At 52.7% G+C, this 20,290-nt stretch overlaps 1 protein-coding gene and 1 long non-coding RNA gene across 4 annotated transcripts, besides 6 other annotated features; one reads left to right on the forward strand and one right to left on the reverse strand.

The window, feature by feature from the left end:
- Window positions 1–6,989: 6,989 nt before the first annotated feature.
- Window positions 6,990–12,883, reverse strand: DMRTA2 (DMRT like family A2). 2 transcript variants are annotated; one of them, NM_032110.3, is made up of 3 exons: window positions 12,556–12,883; window positions 10,418–10,984; window positions 6,990–9,174 (listed from the first exon to the last, which is right to left on the reverse strand). In NM_032110.3, exons 2-3 carry the CDS (start codon window positions 10,974–10,976, stop codon window positions 8,105–8,107), a joined length of 1,629 nt encoding a protein of 542 aa, NP_115486.1. In that variant the 5' UTR covers window positions 10,977–10,984; window positions 12,556–12,883; the 3' UTR covers window positions 6,990–8,104. The 2 variants fall into 2 exon arrangements, with proteins under 2 accessions (NP_115486.1, NP_001424750.1); NM_001437821.1 differs by having other exon boundaries at window positions 10,418–12,883.
- Window positions 7,543–8,493: an enhancer, noted in NCBI's record as "H3K27ac-H3K4me1 hESC enhancer chr1:50883775-50884725 (GRCh37/hg19 assembly coordinates)". NCBI's record gives its function as "activates a minimal SCP1, AML or CMV promoter by ChIP-STARR-seq in primed H9 embryonic stem cells {active_cell/tissue: H9 hESC(primed)}" and the evidence as "EXISTENCE:reporter gene assay evidence [ECO:0000049][PMID:30033119]".
- Window positions 8,494–9,443: an enhancer, noted in NCBI's record as "H3K27ac-H3K4me1 hESC enhancer chr1:50884726-50885675 (GRCh37/hg19 assembly coordinates)". NCBI's record gives its function as "activates a minimal SCP1, AML or CMV promoter by ChIP-STARR-seq in primed H9 embryonic stem cells {active_cell/tissue: H9 hESC(primed)}" and the evidence as "EXISTENCE:reporter gene assay evidence [ECO:0000049][PMID:30033119]".
- Window positions 10,679–11,178: an enhancer, noted in NCBI's record as "H3K4me1 hESC enhancer chr1:50886911-50887410 (GRCh37/hg19 assembly coordinates)". NCBI's record gives its function as "activates a minimal SCP1, AML or CMV promoter by ChIP-STARR-seq in naive H9 embryonic stem cells {active_cell/tissue: H9 hESC(naive)}" and the evidence as "EXISTENCE:reporter gene assay evidence [ECO:0000049][PMID:30033119]".
- Window positions 12,884–12,985: 102 nt separating the features above from the next.
- On the forward strand, window positions 12,986–14,312 carry LOC105378714 (uncharacterized). 2 transcript variants are annotated; one of them, XR_947325.3, is made up of 3 exons: window positions 12,986–13,337; window positions 13,878–14,041; window positions 14,280–14,312. It is a non-coding gene; the product is annotated as an uncharacterized LOC105378714 (long non-coding RNA). The 2 variants fall into 2 exon arrangements; XR_007066076.1 differs by having other exon boundaries at window positions 12,986–13,196.
- Window positions 14,006–14,065: a silencer, noted in NCBI's record as "silent region_863". NCBI's record gives its function as "represses an Ori minimal core promoter by ATAC-STARR-seq in GM12878 lymphoblastoid cells {active_cell/tissue: GM12878}" and the evidence as "EXISTENCE:reporter gene assay evidence [ECO:0000049][PMID:35858748]".
- Window positions 15,890–16,883: an enhancer, noted in NCBI's record as "H3K4me1 hESC enhancer chr1:50892122-50893115 (GRCh37/hg19 assembly coordinates)". NCBI's record gives its function as "activates a minimal SCP1, AML or CMV promoter by ChIP-STARR-seq in primed H9 embryonic stem cells {active_cell/tissue: H9 hESC(primed)}" and the evidence as "EXISTENCE:reporter gene assay evidence [ECO:0000049][PMID:30033119]".
- Window positions 16,884–17,876: an enhancer, noted in NCBI's record as "H3K4me1 hESC enhancer chr1:50893116-50894108 (GRCh37/hg19 assembly coordinates)". NCBI's record gives its function as "activates a minimal SCP1, AML or CMV promoter by ChIP-STARR-seq in naive H9 embryonic stem cells {active_cell/tissue: H9 hESC(naive)}" and the evidence as "EXISTENCE:reporter gene assay evidence [ECO:0000049][PMID:30033119]".

Below are 20,290 nucleotides of genomic sequence, written 5' to 3' on the forward strand. Positions count from 1 at the left end.
TGTGGGAATGTAAAATGATGCAGCTGCTGTGTAAAAAAAAAATTTGGTAGTTCCTCCAAAGATTAACATAGAGAAAAATGACCCAGCAATTCCACTCCTAAGTATATACCAAGAGAATGAACACATATAGCAGAAGTATTCATAATAGCCAAAAAGTGGAAACAACCCAAATGTCCATCAACTGATGAATGGATAAATTATATATATATATATATATGAATATATATAGGAATATTATTTGGCTATGAAAAGGAATGATGAACCGATGCATGATACAACAGGGATGAACCTTGAAAACATTTATGCTAAGTGAAAGAAGCCAGTCACAAAAGGCCATAAATTGTATAATTCTATTTATATGAATTGTCCAGACTAAACAAATTTATAGAGACAGAAAGTAGATTCGATGCAGAAACTCCTCTAGGATTGGGGAGGTATTTACCTGGAGAAGCGAAAACTTGTGATCACACAAAAGCCTGTTTGTGAACGTTTATAGCAACCTCATTTGTAATTACCAAAAACTGAAACAACCCAAATGTCCTGTAACTGTGAATGAATAAACAAATAGTGATAGATCAATACAACTGAATATTATTCAGCAATAAAAAGGAATGGACTATTGACACGTGCAATAATTTGGATGGATCGCAAAGGGATTATGCTAAGTGAAAGAAGCCAGTCTCAAAAGGCTACATACTGTCTGGTTTCATTTGTATAACATTCTGGAAAAGAAGAAACTGTAAAGACAGAGAAACAGGGAACAGATCAGTGGTTTCCAGAGATTAGGGGTAGGGGGGAGGATTTGATTATAAAGGGGCAGCACAGGGAAGCTTTCTGGGGTGACAGAGCTGTTCTGAATCCTGATTGTGATGGTGGTTAGATAAATATATACATACGGTCAACCTTTTAGAAATGTACTATGAAAAAGTCAATTTTACTGTACGTAAACAAAAAATAATAGTTGTGACAATTTGTGATATATATAAATAAAGAAATATGTATAGTGTGTGTGTTTGTGTGTATACACACACACATAATTTAAACTCAACAATCACTGCAGGGCCTGTTTAGACCAACAAAAGTTCTTTGAGGTGAGAAATATTTTATCTCTGACATTGTTCAGAATTGCTGGGAAATGGTAATAACTTAAAAAGCAGACCAACTTTTAGTATTATTATTGTTTTAAATATTCTACAAACAACGAGCCTTCTTATTGCCTTCTCTAGGAAGGATGGGTCCCATCATTACAACCCTGGTATGTCTCCCTTTTGTGGTTCTAGAATAGAAGCCCTTTGGCACAGAGAAACTGATCTTGGAAGTTGGAAATCAGTAGACTGAAAGGTCAAGGGCTACGGGTGGGGCTCTGACAGTGTCTGCTATAGGCAACCAAATCCTGGTTTGAACAAATCAATTGTTAAATTTAAAAAAATTTCCAACTGGGGCAATTAGATAAATGTTAATATATATTGAATATTAGGTTATATAAAGGGATTATTTTTAATATTGATAGTATACTAATGTACTGTGGCTTTGTAAGAAAATATCCTCACGTTTTAGTGATGAGGTATTCACATTGAGGTATTTCAGAGTGACATTTCACAATGTCTGTAATTTGCTTTTAAATACATCAAAGGAAAACTAAGGTGAAATAAATATGACAAAATGTTAAATAGTTATTAAAGTTATGAGATTAGTATACAAATATTCAGATTTATTATACTATTCTCTACTTTCTTATACACTTGAAATTTTTCATAGTAAAAAGTTTTTAAAATAAAAAACACACTGGAAAAGCATTTCTTAGTGCCAAAGCCAGTGAACCCTCACTCTAATAAGATCCCACGACTCTGTTATGGCACATCACAAGACGCTGAATCAAAGAACACCTGGAGCATCTCAGTAGCCTTCGGAAAAGAACATGGAAAAGCAAGTAACATCCTTCTAAAGCTCTTACCCTAAAATGCTAAGACAAAGACAATTTAGGGCTGAAATGGGCAAACATTCAGCTATCCTGAAAGCTTGATTTTCCAGTAGGTCCCATTCCCTATTGGTTCTGGGATGGAAAGATGACAAAAGTCTAGTCAATGAGTCTACTACAAAAGAGAAAGTAGAATGCAAGCCTGAGGTCACCAATGGCCATTTGCACTTCATTTGGAGAAAGTCTGCCTGATATGAAGACAACTTAGAGTACAGCTGATCTAAGAGATGGAGAAAAGCAGCTCAGTTGATGGTGTTTGAGCACCTGGTTCCGACTTTTCCAGAGATAAACTCTGGAAATTTCAGTTGTAAATGTCTATAATTATTATTGTCATTACCATGAAGAAGAAAAAAAGGAGAAAATTCCTTCTTTTTAAGTCAGTGTGACTTGAGAGTCAATAACTTGCAAATAATACACTCTTGTCACATTCTCTGACCTATGAGGTTAGGTCATAAAAGGCCCTGTAGCTTCCACTTTGCTCTCTGGAACATCTGCCTTGGAACCCTGAGTCAACATGTAAAAAGTCTGATATCTTGAGGATACCATGATGGAAGTGCTCCAATCAACTGTCCAGCTGAGCCCAGCCTTCCAGCCATCCATACCAAGGAATCACAGATGTGACTGAACCTGTCTTGGGGTCTCCAGACCAACACATCTACCAGCTGAATACCACCAAGAGATCTTGGTCAACAATAAAAAAAGCTCTGCCCAAATTTCTGACCCATAAATGATGCAATAAAATGGTTATTGTTTAAACCACTACATTTCAGGGTCATTTGTTATGCAACAATAGTTAACAGGAACAGGCAGCCATGAGGGTGCAGCTAAACTGGGCAGTGGCAGATGCAGTTTTTTTGTTTTTTGTTTGTTTTTTGTTTTTGAGACAGAGTCTCGCTCTGTTGTCCAGGCTGGAGTACAGTGATCTCTGCTCACTGCAAGCCCCGCCTCCTGGGTTCACGCCATTCTTCTGCCTCAGCCTCCCAAGTAGCTTGGACTACAGGTGCCTGCCACCATGCCCGGCTAATTTTTTGTATTTTTAGTAGAGATGAGGTTTCACTGTGTTAGCCTGGATGGTCTTGATCTCCTGACCTCGTGATCCGCCTGCCTCAGCCTCCCAAAGTGTTGGGATTACAGGCGTGAGCCACCATGCCCAGCGGGCAGTTGCAGTTTTTAATGGGGCCTGAAGTTTTAAGATAGAAGTCGCTTGACTGTATGCACAAAGTGCAAGACCTTGAGAGGAACATGCCAGGTGTGGAGCCCTGAAGTTTAAGCTTCATTGGTTCACAGTGAGTCTACCTGTGAAACTGGACCCTAGGGAAGGTGAGGAGAGTCCTTAAAGAAGAGAAAAACGAGAAGAGCTTTCCAGGCAGAGGTGACCTTCATGGAAGAGGCATGGTCTGTTATGTTAAGAGGCCAGTCCTCTTGGCACCAAGAGACATGGTGAGAGGGTCTCAACACCTCTCCCAGGCCCATGGGCTCCACTAAGGGAGTCCTGTGTCCTCAGGGGACAGGGAGCTGGGCCACCTCATTCCTCCAAGATAACAGCTGACTCTTTCTACCATTTGGTGTCCATGCTGAGAAGACCTACATGTCCCTCAAACTCTGAAGTTGAACACGAAGCTTCTTCTCCCCGCCATCAAATCTTGTCTCTGCTCCAGGTGGAAATCAGCCCTCTTCCTTACTTACTCCCAACACTGGATCAACAGTGGGTAGTTTGGCTCCTAGCAGTTCTTGAAGGGGCCCTCTTTTCTCCCTCTCCCTACTTCCACTGATCCCTTTTTGGCACAACCATTTGTCACGGCTCCTGAGGGAGAGGTTGGGCCTGTCTCCAAATAATCTACCAAATCCAGATGCAAATCTTACCAGGTCCCGTTGTCAACAGCTCTCAGTACTGAAGTCCAGGCCCAGTTTCTGGCACTCAAGTTTCTCCATGACCTAACGTCTGACTCTGTGCAACCTCAACAGCCTGTCTCCACCTCCTCCCTTTCCATCTGCTAGTCCAGCGGGACCCCTGACTGCCTCCCCAATGTCCTACAACAGATCACAATGCTGCCCCTCACCAACCTCCTCAGGACTCAGCTCACTTCCTCTGAGGCATTTACAGAACCACGCTCTCCCATCTGTCTGTGTGGCCCCTTGCCTTAGGCGGGGTGTCTCCCATAATCTGTGACACTTTAGAGGGCTCAGAAGCCCCATTTGCTCCAGTCACTGGATCCCTCTGAGCTGTTGACTTCTTTGTTAAATGGGGCCACACCATCCACACCAAAGGATATGAGAATTGTAATAGTGAACACCTAGTGAGCAAGCACTGAGCTGAGAGCTTTTGGATATTATTTCATTTACTCCTCACAGCATCCAGAGAGACAGACCCCACTATTCCACCATTTAATTGAGGCAGAGTGCCTTGCGGAAGTGGCCTTCCCCGGCCAGATCTCCCTTGTGTGCACTTGTGTATCCCAGGGTCCTAGAACTGGGCCTGACATACATTAAGTACTTAGCAAATATTTGCTGACTGAAGTAATTCAAGAAAGAATAACCCCAGCCAGCGATTGAGCCTGGACCCCGGCTCTAGGCTCTTCCTGGCCCACCGAGCAGGATTCTGCTGGGGAACATGGTTGGTACAGGACTTGGCATACAGAAGGTGCTAGTGTGTCGCTGCTGCTGCTGTTGTGCAGGAGGGGTGGGGCGGGGAAGCTCCCCACCAGTCGGAGCTACCCGCGGCGGCCCGGGTTCGCATCCTCCCACTGCTCAGACCGAGTCGGCTCCAGCTTGCTTTGGGAAGCATTCAGGAATAAACGTGGACAGTAGCGGTCAGGAAGGAGATTCCCGTTTCCCCTTCTCCCAGGAGGAAAAGAGGTAACGCTGCCGCCACTGCCCTCTCTTTCCAGGGTGGGAACGCCGCCCGAGACCGGGGTACCCCACACTCCTCCCTAGCGCTGATCCCAGCGGAGCTCAGGCCGCAGTCCCCTCCTGCCGGCTGCGGAAGCTCCCAGAAGCGGAGACTCAATCGCCCCCCTGCCCCTGCTACCAGGCCAGAGTCTGGAGTACAGATACTGGCTCCCTGGGGCCTGGGTGTGCGACCCCAGGCCGGTCATTGCAGGTCTCTGCGCCTCCCTGTTCCTGACTGTGCAATGGGCAGCGGGTCAGGGGCGCACCGTGGGCGCAGTACGTTCCCAGGCGCCAAGGGCTGTGACTGACCGACCTGGGCTTCCACCGCGGGGCCTGGGCCATGGAGACGCTCCGGGCCCAGGAACGGGGGACCTCGGGTGCCCCACTACCTCACTCCTAGAACGCCCACCGCTCACGAAGCCTTCCTGAGCTCTACCCGAAGGTGCTGACAGCCTGGAGCTGAGGCCAAGGCGCTTGGGGGCACGCTGCTTCTCCCTGGGCCTCCTATGTTCACGGAAGGAGAGTTTCCGCAAACCTCTCACTCTCGGCCAGCAGACCCCGCTTCATGAGAGGAGGAGACCCACTAGGGGCGGTGGAGAGGCGAAGTGATCCAGGGTCCCGGAAAGTTGGACAATTCCCTGGACCAGATGGCTCTCAGTTTCCTCCTCTGTAAAATGGGGCCGGTAATAAGCAACTCTCTGGATTCACCCCGGTTTGCTGCGAGGATGAACTAATATAATAGTCTTTAAGTCTGTGACGCTCCAGATGTTCTTGGGAATGAGTAACGCGGGTCCACAGGCCGCCCCCTCGGGTCCGGCCAGAGCATCGGCAGGAACCGAGGAGCCTCGGGGGACCCAGCGTAGGTCCTTCCCGAAACCAACACCTTGGGTGCGGTGGGGCAGAGGACGGGGATGAGGCGGCCGGAACCGCCCTACGAGGAGAGGCTGGGAGGCTCCGAAAACCTGGGGTAGGGGGAGCGCACCGGGGCTTTAGAGGGCGCAGCGGCCAAGGGCAAGAAAGTTTACACTCCCAGAAGCTTCCGCACGCTTTCTCCCGCCTGCCTCTTTTCTTTCTAACTCTTCCCTCTCCTGTCTCCTCTCGCCCTCTTTTTTCTCCTTTTTTATCCCCTTTTCGTCCATCGCTCTTGCCGGCATCTTTCTTCTCTGGGTCCTTCTCCCCCACTTTCATCTCATCGCGCTCGCACTTCATCACCAGACAGCCAAACCCCCTTTCCAATTAAAGTGGAATTAGGCAACTCAATCAAATTAGTTCCCCATTAAAGCCCTTCTTTATTAAACCGTTTTCTTGTCCTGCTATTAAGTTTCACTGCCTGGCGGAACTCGAGCCGGCCCCAGAAGTTTACCTTGGGATGTCGCCGGACCCAGCCGAGGGGAGGAGTCATTCTTTTCCTGGAGCGGGGGAGTCACCCTGCGGGGAGCGGGAGGGACTGGAGGTTGAAGGAGAGGGTCGGCCCAGGAGCGGCTAATTTGCTCAGCTCGGCGTGAGGAGGGAAGGTGAAAAGGGTGAGAGACGAGGTCTGGCTCGAAGTCGCGTGCTCACGGCCCCTCTCCCAAATTACACTTTTTCAAGGAAGGCAGCATGCCACCCCCAACTCCCCAGAACCCCATAACTCCCAGGCTGTAGCCCTTGTCAGAAGAATGGTAGCAGCCACCCTGCCCAGCCGTCGCCTTCGTTGCCTGTGGTTCCAAATCTGAGATGGGGAGCGCGCAGTGTGTACATCCAAATCTACACCTCGGAAAGAGCAGGGACTGGGCCCCCAGCCTTGCAAGATCCCTGTGAAGACTGGGGCCGACGATCCAAAAACTAAGAGCCGGGGCAAGGTGACCCCTCCGCAAGGGTGCCCAAGCTGGGGTACACACTGTGTTCCCTCTGCTCAGCGGTCGCGGGTCCTTCGGGAGTTGTGAGCCCCGCGCCACTCTGGTGGGATAGGTCTTCCGAGTACCACAGGAAGTCTCCTCTCCCAGTAGCCCCGAGGGTCGGAGATCCCACGGGACCTCGGACAAGCGTCTCCTTAGCGCCGCGGCCTGAGTGGGAAATCACGACCTTCCCCAGCGCCCCACCCCCACCCCCTATTTCTCGAGGAGCGGGACGGGATTCGGCATTGTTTTCTTAGAAAATAACATTTATTTCTAGCTCATATCTATGCAAAGGAAAGCACAAAGTGCTGCTCTGCAGCAGCGTTTTCCGCTGCGGGCCCTTCAGTCAGGGCGTTTGGCGAGTCCCGGGAGGCGAGGATGGGCCCGCGAGCGGGCGGTTCTGGCTCAGTCACACGTCGCTCTGTTCCTGCTTCAGTGCGCACCTTGACGGCTCCTTAGGGACAGACCAGCCGCAGGCAAGAGGGGCAGGTGGGCAGGATTCATCCCGAGTTTCCAATATATTTAATCTCTAAACCTGATAAGTACAATGCGCGCATAGTCTAATTTTTTTCCATTTTGTCCCTTTTTTTGCTTGTTTTGAATGTTTTTCACGTTAATACCGAGGTCACCTACAGATTACAATTAATAACTTAGAATTCCATTTTATAACATTATACACTGGCTTGTATATATATATGTATAGATTATATATAGATTTATACATATATAAAAACACACTGCACCAAGGAAACCCATGCTTATCGGCATAAGCAACAAAGAGAGCGACAAATACCGCAACGAGGAAAGTGCACCTTAAAACTTGTTTCCTTTTTTTTTTTTTACAATTGTATCGATATATATGTGTGTCCCAAAGACTCAGTGCCAAGAGATTTATACATCCTAAATTTATATTTGTTAGAGCGAATATTTAAATTTTTTAAAAGTGAGGGCTGGGGAGACACAGAAAAGACTCTCGGATTATCCTGCCATCCACTGAGAGCCGGATGAGCACAGCTAAGGAGCCGCAGGAGCCTGCGCTGCTGTCGCAGCCTCTGAATTCTCATGAATTCCCAGCCTTTTGGAAAGGGGGCCGGGTGAGGCTGGAAGAGGGATCCGGAGGTAGGAGATGAGGACCCAGGCCGCGCACCCCCTCCGAGAACACCTGCACCTGTCTGTAGCTGCTCCCCCTTTGCTCAGCCTTCCCCACCCACCCTCCTAAACAAAACCCAAAAACCACCTTAGAGTGAGAAGACGCCCAGCCAGGGCGCAGAGAGAGCGCTGGGCGAAGAGGGGTCGATGGCCCGCGGGAACAGGGCTGGGGTTCCTGTTTGGGGACCGGCCGGCTGCCAGGCCCCTCGCCCTACTGCTTCTCCGGAGCGCCGTTGACCATAGGCCCGTACAGGCCGCCGCCGTAGGTCGGCTCCTTGTGCACCGCCGCAGCAGCGGCGGCCGAGCGGTCACGCATGAGATCGCTAAAGGCGTAGTCCATGGGTGGGCGGAAGCCGAGCGTGGGCACCAAGCCGGCAGTGGAGTAGGGCGCCATGAAGGCCAGACCGCGGCTGTGCGCCGCCGCCGCGGAGTAGGCCAGGCGCAGGGGGCTGAGGCCGAGCGGCGCGCCCAGCGGGTAGGCGCCCGCGTCGGCACCGAAGTGACTGGCGTTGGGCTGCAGCGGCGAGAAGGCCGAGCGGCTGCTCAGCGAGCCCAGCGCCCCAGGCGCCATGGCGCCGGCCAGCAAGGGTCTGTGGTGCGGAGGTGCGGCGGGCCCCGCCTGCAGCGGCGCAGGCAGCCCAGGCCCCCCGGCGGCGGCGGCGGCGGCGGCGGCGGCGTCGACGCGGCTGGGCCACGCGTCGTCTGCAGCTGCTGCAGCACCCACGGCGGCCTTATCTGGGGGCGCCGCAGGGCCCAGGCCGGCCGCCAGGCCCCCACGGTGGTGGTTCAGCACCTGCTCGATGGCCTGCACCACGTCGCCGCCGCAGCCCTGCAACACCAGCTCCAGGACGCCTCGCCGGTGGCCTGGGAACACGCGTGTCAAGATATCCAGCGGCGTCCGCTGCCGTGGACCCGAGCCTCCGCCCAGCCCTGGCGCCGGCGCGGCCTCACCCTCTTCTTTGTCAGCCTCTGAACCGGATTCAGAGCCCAGAGGGCTAGCGGAGCCCGGGCTGTCCTCCTCGCCGCCGCCGCCAGGGCCAGCGCTGCCTGGGCAGCTGCCACCTGCCTCTTTGGAGGCCCGAGCTAGGGGCGAACCAGAAAAGGACTCGCCATCGCCGTTCTCCGAGCCTGAGCCGGGCCGCACCTCTGGGGACGACGTCCCGGGCCCCGAGTCTGCGCCGTCGGGTGATAAGGGCTTCACCGGCGGCGGCAGCGGGCTGCCCGGGCGGCCTGCCTGCAGCAGCGTCTTAGGAAACAGGTCAAACTTCTGCAACTTGGCCTCTGGGAGGGGAGAAAACGTGTCGTGAGGAGCGGTTAGCTAGAAGACAGCAGTCACAGCACCTCGGCCCTTTGGATCTCAGTTTCCTCTCCCTCAGCCCCACAGCCCTTATTCACTAGGCTCCAGTGCCCCTCTTTCTTTTTGCTCTAGCATTCCTTCCGCTCTGAGCCCCTACAGCCCTGACCCCAGGGCTCCCTCTCTTTCTGTACTCCTCAGAACCCCAACTACCTGTGCCCTGTAAACTCGATGTTCAGTGCTGCTTTCCCCACGTCTGTGCCCCAACACCTCCACCCTTAACTGCCCTTCCAGTCCTGCCCTGCCGTGGAGAAGTGGCCAGGTCCAGGGTTCAAACAAGAGACAACATAACTTCTGCCTAACCACGCTGTACAGAAGAGCCCACTGTATAGAAAATGCCTGCCCTGGCAGTGCAGCCTGTAAGGAAAGGCGCCTTGGTTATCTAGGAGGTCCCAAGCTTCTCTACAGGCAGAAGTACAGCCCCTGTTTCTAATCCACCCTTTCCAAAATTGAGACCTGAGAAGTTCTTCCCTCCCAAGTTTAGAGCGGATCCCTCCTTTCCCTCAACGGCTCTGGCCTAATTTCTTCCCTCCCCACAAAAAGCCACGGGGGTCCAGAAAAAGAGGGTGGTGCTAGGCAGGCAGTAGGAAGCGAAGAGGAAAAGACATAGGAAAGCAGACCTGAGAAACCAGGGAGGGTGCGGAAGAAACTAGAAGGAGGGAGGGCGCAGCAAGCGGTTGTCCAGAGGGCGTTAGGAACGCGAGAAGGGGAAAAGAAACTAGGGCGTCTCAGAACCTAGGGCGTCTCAAAACCTAGGGTGTCAGTTAAAGGGGGGGGGATTCCTTAAGGGAGTTGGGAAGGAGCAGAGGGAAAGGGCCTGTGGAGAAGCGCAGAGCGAACGAAGATGCGCAGGTTTCCACCTGGGGAGAAGACGAAGCAAAGAAGCAGGGACCTGCCTGCGTTTGGGTAGAGGCGAGTAAAAAAATTAAAGCGTGTACATTTCGGCCCGATGCAGGAGAAAGGGGTAAAGTGCAAATGCTCCAGAAGCGGGAGAAAGGAGAGTTTCTGTACCCACGCTCCATACCCGAGGCTGGGCGAGCGGTGAACCCTAGCAGTCGCGGCGACTGGACACGGGGGTTCTACTCTTTCTGAACCGAGACAAGCCCCTGGGCCCCGTGCCCCAGAGCTACGATCCTGCTGCCCCTACCTGCGGCCTGGCCGCGCTCTCACCTGAGCCCCCTGCGCCAGCTGCTCCGCCTCCGGTCCCCGCGGGCGCTCCCGCTCCAGGTCCCCCGCCGTCGGCGGCGCACACTGAACCGAAGACCTCGTAGGCGGGCCTCGGGGGGATGATGCCGTTGGCGGCGGCCAGCGCCAGCCCCTCGGCAGTGCCGTAGAGCAGCTGCAGCTCGCGCGCCTCGTTCTCCTCCTGCGCCTGCTGCCTGCGCAGCGCCACCTGCGCCGCCATGACACGCTGGCGCTCCGCGATGAGCGTGCACTTGGCGCACAGGCAGTCCTTCCAGCGACAGTAGCGTTTGTGGCCCTTGAGGGCCGACACCACGCCATGGTTGCGACAGCGCGCGCACTTGGGGGTCCGCGGGTACTTCTCGGCTGCCCGCAGCAACAGTGGCGGCCCCCGCAGCAAGCCGCCTGCCACGCTCACCGGTAGCGATGCAGCGGCCGCCGCGGCTGCCGCCACCGACGCCACCGACGCCACAGGCGGCCCCGTCGCTGTTGCCGCCGCCGCCGTCGCCGCGCCGGGCACGCTGGGCAGCTCCGAGCGCAGCTCCATGACAGGACCTGACGGGAAAGAAGGTGGGAGAGGGGAGAGACCTGGTGAGGAGCACACCGCGCGCTAGGCCAAAGCGCCGCCTTGAGGAACCCAAGCTGGAGAGGGAAATTTGGGCCGCGGAGGCTGGGCTAGAGGGGCCAGAATTGCTGGGAGGAGGTGCAGTCGGAACCTCCTTGTGAGCCCTAGCACCTTCACCCCAGTCTGGCCATGGCTGCTCTTAGACCTGATATACACGCTAGGGGTAAGATTTTGTCTGAATTAGTGATTCCGCTGGAAAAAATAAAGAGACATGTAAAGTGTGAAAGTCACTGATTCAGATGGCTGTAATGAGAATTTGGAAAAGTTAAGATGATACCCCAAAGCTTAGCCTAATTGGGGTGAGACGGGTGAGAGAAATGCTCGTTTGACGGGACTGGGATTAGAGCGACAGTTTTGGCCCAGAAGTTAGGCTGATGCCAAGGGCAAAACAGGAAAACCCGGAGCAAAACGGTCAGTTTGGTGGAAGGGTGAAGAGGAGAGAGATGTGAAGGCGCAGATGTGAAGGCCGGTTGGGCCGGAGTTTTGTTTCTTTTTGTTTGTTTATTTTTAATGCAGTTTGGGGCAGAAGCTTTGGAGAGAAAAATCAACAACAGAAAGAATAGCTTTAGGAAGCAGAGTGAGGACGAGGAAACAACTTGGGCAAAGTTAGGCCCAGTGGCTCTGGGACCCGTAAAAATGTGAGCGCCAAAAGTTCCACGGTGAGGGCCTCCAGAGAGTGAGAGACAAAATGTATGTGGAATTTAGCTTAGGACTGGGAAGTATTAAAGAGAAAAATTCGGCCAAAGAAACTTTCTGTATAGGCAAACCCAGCCCAAAGATGAGCTTCATGGGCAAGGAAAACAGTGAAAAGCAGCTGATCTGGGTGTCCGGGATCCAGGGGCCGCGCCTGGGAGAGGGGAATGTGTAAGAAAAAACCCCACAGGCAAATGCTGGGGGAGGGGATTGGGTAAAACCTGTGGTGCAGTTTTTTAGCTTCGCAGTCTGGAGTAGTAGTCGGGGCGGAAGACGTATCCTGCGAAAAGTTAGGCATTTCGGGAGGGGGATCTTTCTCGAAGACCACCTCACACTGCCCTCCCCTCCCCTCCGGGTTTAGGGACAGAGTCGTCAGACACGCCCTCCCCGTCTTGGGGTCCCAGGGGACCCCTCTCGAGCGCAGGCTCCTGCGTTCTGATCTCAGAGTTGGGGTCCTAGGACACGGATGGCCCAGCAGGCCGCACCAAGCCAGGGGAGTCGCCTTCGCAACTGGCCATAAACGGACACCAGAGTCCCTCCCACGCCGCAGCCCCATAAGGCCCAAGCAGGCCCAGCTCCCCGCTTCTGCCGCGGTCTCCTCTGCTTCCCGCGTTCCCCGTCCCTGCCAGAGCCCGCGACAGAGTCCTTGTGTCTCCGTCCGAGAGTCCCAGACCTCCTCTCTATGAGCGTTGCCTCCTCTCCCAGACCCTTCGGGCGTCCCTAAGGCCCACGGGGCCCAGGCCTCCTCAACAGGGGCCGCAGACCAGGTCTCCACCCACTGCTCTCCCTGCGGCCCTCAACTACCTGCCTTGGGCTCCGGGATCCTCCTCCTCCGCTGGCGCTGCACGCGCCTCCCGGCTCCACTGGCGACGCTGGAGCTCTTGGCCGCTTCCCTTTGCCCCCGGCCCCTTATCTGACCACGTCACCCTCCTTCAGTCACCATGTCCGAACTTCCGGACCCCTCAGAACGCAGCGCAGTCCAACCCTCCCTTCAGAAATCCGGGTCGGAGGCTCGTCTGCGGGCCGCGTGGTTGGAACCCGCGACCTGACTCTCGCCGTGCCGGGTCCCCTCGCGGTGCGCGCCGGACGCTGCGCGCAGCCGGGGCCCAGTTGCCCGGCGCTGCCAGACTCTCAATGAGCCGCTCGCCCGCTCTATTGTTGGTCCTTAGGGCTCCATTAGACAGAATTGGACAACAATGTGGCGCCTGCCATTGGCCAGGGGAGGCAGACGGCGCTCTGATTGGCCGGGCCCGCGCCCGGGGAGCCCCGCATTCTGCAGTGTCCGAAAGATTCGAAACTCCAAAAGCTCCACTGCGTGCCTCTGGGAGGGGAGGGGGCGCGCCAGGAAAGGAGTGGAAAAAAGTGGGCGAGGAGGAGCGTTGAAAATTTCCTGACAAGTAGTTTCCGTGCGCCCGAGAGCGTGTGAATTGCTCCTAATTACCGTGTCCGGTGCGCCTCTCTGCGTAGACTTGTGTAACCTCTCGGCTTCTGGGGCGCCGGCTCGGCTGCACCGCTCTTACTGGCCTGGGGCGCTTGGCAAAGCCGAGCTTCCCAAGTGGCTCTGGAGCCCTGAGGCGGGATGGGGGGCAGGTGACAATTCAATTACTGCGGTCGGGGTAGGGGCGGGACAAGGGTGCGGGGGTGGGGAAGGGAGGGTGTTCAAGGCATAAATGCCAGGACGATTTTTCCTGCCTTCTTCCTGCTATGTTTCGGCGCGCTCCCAAATCCGACGAGTTTGGGGTAGTTGGGGGCTGCTTTGGTTTTTTCCTCCTGTCTCCTTAAAGCTCAGTTACTTTATTTTAAAAGTCCTGATACGATAGTCATCCTGGAGGGTAAGTGTGGTTTATGAAGATTTTCGTGTTTAAAGAGAAGCTCAGCGAAGAGAAATGAGATTGCACTTCCTGTCGGTGCCCGCCACGTCCCTCGCGCCCTGAGCCTTTCCTCTCCCCGCCCCTCTTTTCGCGTCCCTCAGCCCCTTTTGAGCTCTCTTTTCCTCACTTTTCAGCATCTCGATTTCTTTTCCGTGGTGGTGGGATTCTTTTTGTCGTTATTGCAAATGAACAAATAGCCCCCCCCCCTTTTTTTTTCTTTTCTAAACGAAAGTAAAAAGTGGCCTCTGTGTCTCCGCAGATTCTCTTAAACTCAGGACGCGCATCGGTCTGTCCGACCTTCCCGGCAAGAGACAAAGTCACTGCTGGGAGGCCCCCTCGGACAGTTTTCAGTTTTAACTTTCGCCTTATTCTCGTCTTGTCTTGATGTCACGGCCCTGAGGAACAGCTCGTTCTGCAGAAGAGGTAACAGGTTTCAGATTTTGTTTCCTTTTTGAAAGGCTGTTGCCTTTCAAACATCTGGAATTAATGCCGCGGCCCTCGGGCGAGTCGCCCTCGGTTTCTGTAGCTCTGATTTTATCTCTGTGTCTTTTCCCCTCTAATTTCTAAAGTTCTGTTTTTCCCTCTAATTCTGTTTTTCCCTCTAATTTCTAATGTTCTGTCACTCTCGTTTTTGTTCTCTACTTTTCTCTCTCTCCTTCAGAATAAAGAAAATTCGTTTAAATAATGAGGAAAATGAGCGTTCCTGTCGTTCTCCCTCCACTCTTGACCGTGCGTCTCTGCGTTGCTCTTTCGAACCTCCAGGCCGGCGGGAATCTGGGCGCGCAGACTCGGCCCGGGTCGTCGCGGCCTCAGGACGCAGCCCATTCCGCCTGGCACGACTACTGGGCCGCGTCTTGTCAGTCTATCAGCTTCTGAGCCCAGGAATGGGGGTGGGGGAAGGACGGTGCGACTAACGGGCCCCCACCCGAAGACCGCAGAACCTGGCGCCCCGGAAGAGCCCTGGAAGATGCCCACCGGGAGGCTGAGGCTGGAGGGAGGAGTGGGTGGGGGTGATTCGCTGGAGGACCGGGCGGAGAGCTTCCAGAAAGTTCACCAGGCCCCGGCGCGAGGGCGCTCCGACACGGACAAGGTCTATGATAGCGATAAAAAGCTGGTTACTCGCTCCCAGAAAATGCCACTTGCTGGAGTCTGTGAATGGGTTTAGGAGAGAGAAGGGTGTCAGCCCCCGCGAGGGTCTCCCGCGTGAAGTGAGGATAAGGGAGTGCTTCAGGGATAATATGTCCTCTAGGAGCGCAGGACCCAGACCCCACCTTCCAACACCTGGAGGTTCCGAGGCCAAGTATGTCTAGCCCCGGCTGCACCTGGGTAGGTGAGCCATGGGGTCGGGGGAAGAGCGCCGACAACCGCCGGATTCCGCGCAGGGGCCGCCAGGCGCCTGCTCCCAGAGCTCCTTTGGACAAAGTTTTCGGGAAATTCTATTAAACCGAAAACGAAATAAACTATACAAATCTGCCTAGCTTTTGAGGGGGCGGTGGCCCAGGTATCCTTCTCGCTTGAGGCCAGGTCACCGTGAGATTTCCCCACTCCGGACCGGGGATCCCGCAGAAGCCAAGGGTGTAGCCACGAGGACTCGGGAACCCGAGGCGGCCCAGCAGATGCGTGAGGAACTTCATTTTCTCAGGAGTGGGAGGAGGAGCATCCTGGCATCTAACACAGCCCAACCAGAGGGAATCCGCCCAACCCCTAGTGGCGGCATCTCACTCTTCTCTCGCTCCTCTTTTCTGGCATTCACATCCCCACAGGTCTGAGACCCACAGCCTTTTCTCCCACTCCCCGGAGGTTAGGGTGTTCATGTGAGTGAATGTGTTATGGAGGGAGGCAAAATAAACCCGTTATGGAGGGAGGGCAAATAAACCCAAGGTCATCTCACCCACACTTCGACAGGGCAGGATATCCTCTGCCCAGCTTCCCAGGCCGCTCCAGGGCCAGTTCCTCCTGATTTGGATTGGGTTGGTCGGAGGGGAAAGCAAGGGCATGGCCCAACTGAGCCACCAGCACTAGTAGAGCACGCCCAGGTTGAGGCAGCAGGGTCTACCCCCTTCCCAACCTGAGTGTAGCTTCACACTTGGACACACCCCCTCCCACGTGCGTGTGACCACTCTCTGCAAAGTTTGGGACACACTCTCACGCCAGCATTCAGAGAGCACCACCGGGCCCAGGCTCAACTCTGATGCTACCCTCCGGCTCAAGGGGACCCCTTCAGTGAGTTTGACCTCACAGTGTTCTTATAAGCATGTCCCCATCCTGGGCCATCCACTTGGTGTGTGACATTCCCAGACTCCCACAGATTTCCACCTCGGTGATAGCACACGCCGACAGGAGCACATTCTTACGCAGGTATGCCCTGGTTTATGCGCGGAGCTCCAGTCTTACTTCTACAGTTGGGCCCCGGGCAGAAAAAGCCAAAACCCTCCGGGACAAATGAGGCGGCTGAGAGCAGAGGGTCTTCCTCACACATCCACACGCGTACTCTTAGCTCAGAATCATTTGCTGACGCCTCTGCTGTGCCAGGGGCTGGGGGCCCGGGTGAGAGGGCCCAGCCAAGAAAATCCACCCCATCCCTATTCGCCCCCGGCCCCATCCCCCACGCCCACGCCCAGGAACTGGTGGCGTCCAAAGGGACTGCGTTGGGGTGAGGCCGGGGTTGAGGGCCTAGGGCGCAGAGCCGGCTGGAGACGCGGCGTGGGGAAGGGGGCCGAGGGTGAGTAGTGTAGCTCTGAGTAAAAGAGCCAGGGGCGCCGATGGGGGACCCGGGAGGCATTGACTTTTGCGCTGTTTGCCCGCGGCCTCGGAGCAAGCAGACGCCATCTGTTTGCCGGCTGCGACGCGTCCCGTTTAATTACCCTCCCGGCAGCCTAATAGAGATGATATTAAACTAAATCTTTCTGACATTAAAAGTAATTATCCCCAAACCGGTGGCTCCGGGACGGAATGGCCCCTCCCGCACCCACCCCTTCCCTGGCCGCGCCGGATTCCGTTAGTTTGGCTGATACTCTCCGCCCGGGAATGGGGCGCAGAGGAAAGGGGGAAAGTGCCTTTGGGAGAAGGAATCTCCACGGGTTGCCCTACACGCGTTTTCCCGCACAACCACAGACTCTCCTGTTCCTATGTGAACACACGCACGTGTACACACAGACACGTAGCGACATTTTCCTCCAGATCAACTCATGAGTCATGCTGATGAAGACCCTCAGCCGCGCACACCCTCTGTGGACAGGGAGACGCGCAGCTTGGTTTCCTGTCCCCGTCCTCTGACACCGCTAAAATGGTCATTTTCCGTGGTCATAGCCACGGATCTATGCCACGACCTGGGACCGGGCATAATTTCGGAGCCAGAAAGTACTCCTGTGGTGGCGCCGGGTTTCTCAGGCGCTCTTCCAGCTAAGGGCCAGGAGCCCAGCGATTTCCCTACAGTTGCTTACTGAAGTCGCACCATTCTCTGCGAGGCAGGTCCGATTATTCCACTTGTCAGGTGAGAAAACAGACTCGGAGAGGTGAGATGACTTGTTCCACATTATCACAATTAGTGAGTAACAGTGCAAAAATCAAACCCGGGAGTACCCTCATCCAAAGCCAGGTCTGTCTGCACAGTGCAGGCGCAGCGGGCGCTGCGAATCGGCTCCTGGCCCAATGCACCCCTCCACACCCGTTGGCCGGGAACCCGCTGGTGCTCAGCTTCTATCCGGACCCCGGACCTAAAGGCCGGGCAGAACAACCAACTGAAGGTGGAGGAGCGAGGGCACTGGTGCTGATTGAGCGGCAGGAGCCCCCGAGGCGGAGTCCCAGCGGCTGCAGCCCTCCTTTGGATCAAGCCCTCGCGTCTTCCGGGCAGGCGGAAGGGAGGCGTCTGCCCAGTGTCGCCAGGCTTCTCACGATTTTCTGGTTGGGAGCATCTAAGCCTGAGACAAACGCATGGAGAGCGGTGTTCACCGCCCCACTATTTGTTTCTATTTGTGAGCGTCTACTGAGTACAGCCACTCTGATAAACACTCGGTGTGTGCTCTCTTGCTTGGCACGCAGTCCTTGGGGGAAGATGCGATGTTCCACATTTCAGACACGAGGTAGCCAAAGTTCAACAAGGCGACATAACTTGCCTGGGGCCAGAGTGCTGCCGAACTTCGAAAAAGACAGAAATCCAGATCCAACTCCCACTCTTAGGTTTTTTTCTCCTCACCTTCCGTTCCGAGTGGGTAGGATCAGACCTAGGGGCTTCCATTTGGTTCGATTCCATTCAGTTCACTAATCATTCACAGAAACATGAAAGTAGGAGTCATTCATTCATTCACTTATTAATTCGTTTATGTAACAGCATTTGTTGAGCATCTAGTATGTGCCAAGCTCTACGGATCCGAGACAAATCAACCATAATGGGCCCTTACAGAACTTGTTAGCCAACTGGGGACACAGTCACCTATCAATGACCTCACAGTGAGAAGTCTAATCTTGGGAATGGGGGAAGGAGAATGAGGGGAAACTTCCCCAAGAAAGGGACCTCTGATGTGAGAGGTTAGGTTTCCCAAAAGGAAACACTGTTATTGCTTGTTCTGATAGAATAAAAGTCTTATAAAACATTTTAGAAAATTCAGCAAAATATATTTGGTGAATTTTGCTAATTTTTTTTCCTGTTTACCTACACTGACAAAAATATACTTTACAGTACTTGGTTTTTGTTTACAAATATAAGGATTTTAATATTAATCTATCTACATAACCTTTTAAATGATTGTTTAATGTTCCATTGCATGGATCCCTCTTTCTTTAGCCATTTCCCTGTTAATAGGTATTTTGTTTGTTTCCAGTTTTTGCTCTAATAAATATTGCTACCACAAACATCCTTTGTGAATTTGCCAATTATTTACCTAGGATAAATTCCTAAAAATAAGATTGATCGGCCAGAGGCTTTTTACATTTTTTAAAGGCTTTTGATAGCTATCAAATAGCCCACAGGAAAGGTATCAATGAACACACTCAATACAAGCACATCTTGCTGATCTTTTAAATCTTTGCCAATTCAAACAAGAAAAATAGTATATCATTGTTATAATTTGCATTTCCTTAGTTATTCCTTACTTTTTCCTACATGGATCGGTCAGTTAAGTTGTTTTAAAAATTATTTATATACATCATTTGCTTATTTTTCAATCATAGAGCTTCTACTTTCCTTAATTTGTAATAGTAATTTATATATCAAGGACAATAGTATCTTCTGTCTGTAACATGTGCTGCGTTTCCTCACTTTTTTGTGGCTGTCTTGCTATTGTAATGCTGGAGTTTTAAAACGTTTATGTAGACCAAAATTTATATATTTTTTGTAGAATCTATTTACAGTTGTATATGTAAGGATTTCTCAAATCCAACCGTCTACAAGCATTGGCCTATATTTGTATTAGCTCTTTTTTCATTATTTACATTTATATCTTTAGTTTATTGGAAATTAATTTTGATGGAAGGTGTGGTTTGTAGCTTCATTTTCCTCAATAATTAGCCATTTATCACAGCACTCTTCAATGAACCCTTTCCCCTACTGACCATATACTATATACCAAATTCTCAGATGGCTGTAGGTTGATCTCAGCATATTCTCTTCAAGGGAGCTGTTTACTCTTCTTGCACCAGCCTCACCATTTTAATTATTGTAGTTCTGTAGTATTTGGGAGGGCAAGTCATCCTTCTGATTTTTCTTTTTTTCCACATTCTCATGGCTATTTTCAAAATACAGGCTTCTGAATAAATATTTTAGGAATTTTAAAGCTACTTCCAAAAAAGTAAAAAATATTGGGGGGGGGGGGAATTTAAGTACCTTTAGAAATTAATTTGAGGGATATTATGCATCTTCACAATGTGAGACATTTCCATCTAGGACTTGGTGTGACGTTATCATGACTTTTATGTATCTTGGTAACTGCTGTCATTTTTTCTCAACAATTCTGTTTCTTAAACATATATTCTCCCTTCCGTATTTTATGTAGCTATTGTGAATGGAATCTTTTCACCCACTACAGCGTCTAACAGGTTATGACAGGATCATAAGAAAGTTACTCATAATAGTATATTTATCTTGGAACCCGCCTCCTTTGTGACCTCTCTCCCATTAACAATTTTTAAGTTAGTTTTTACAGTTTTCCCACCCAGCTGAGTTTGGAAGGACCCGGAAATGACCAGGAGGAGGGAGGGATGAGGATGTAGAGTGTGATTTGCAGGTCTTCCTGGGGCATTGCGGATGGTGTGCACCGGCTACGTGGTCTTCTTTGGGCCATCCTTCTCCTGGTTTCCATCTCCCAAGAGGACCCCTTGAAATAGCGATTCCGAGAATCGGCTCCGGGGCTGATGAGCCATCCAGATACGGAGCTTCCGCCGCACTGTGTGACCGTGAGCGAGTCGCCAGCCCTCTCTGGGCTCGCCTCCCGGCTACCCCGGAGTCAGACTGCCTGGAGGATAGGCAGCCAGGCCACTACTTGTGGAGAAAGGAGACTGTAGAGAGGAGGGGCATTCGGGCTGGTTCCTGGGCCGGGTCAGCCTGGGTTTGAGTCCAGACTCCCTCCCTCCGTAGTGCGGCGAGTGACCTTCGGCAGCCAAGTAGTCCCAGCCTATTCCCAGCCTGTAACCTTCGGGTTATCCAACAAACTGGAGATAAGGGGAACAGGTCTGGGA

This window comes from Homo sapiens, chromosome 1 (genome assembly GCF_000001405.40).
Source record: "Homo sapiens chromosome 1, GRCh38.p14 Primary Assembly".
NCBI lineage: Eukaryota > Metazoa > Chordata > Mammalia > Primates > Hominidae > Homo > Homo sapiens.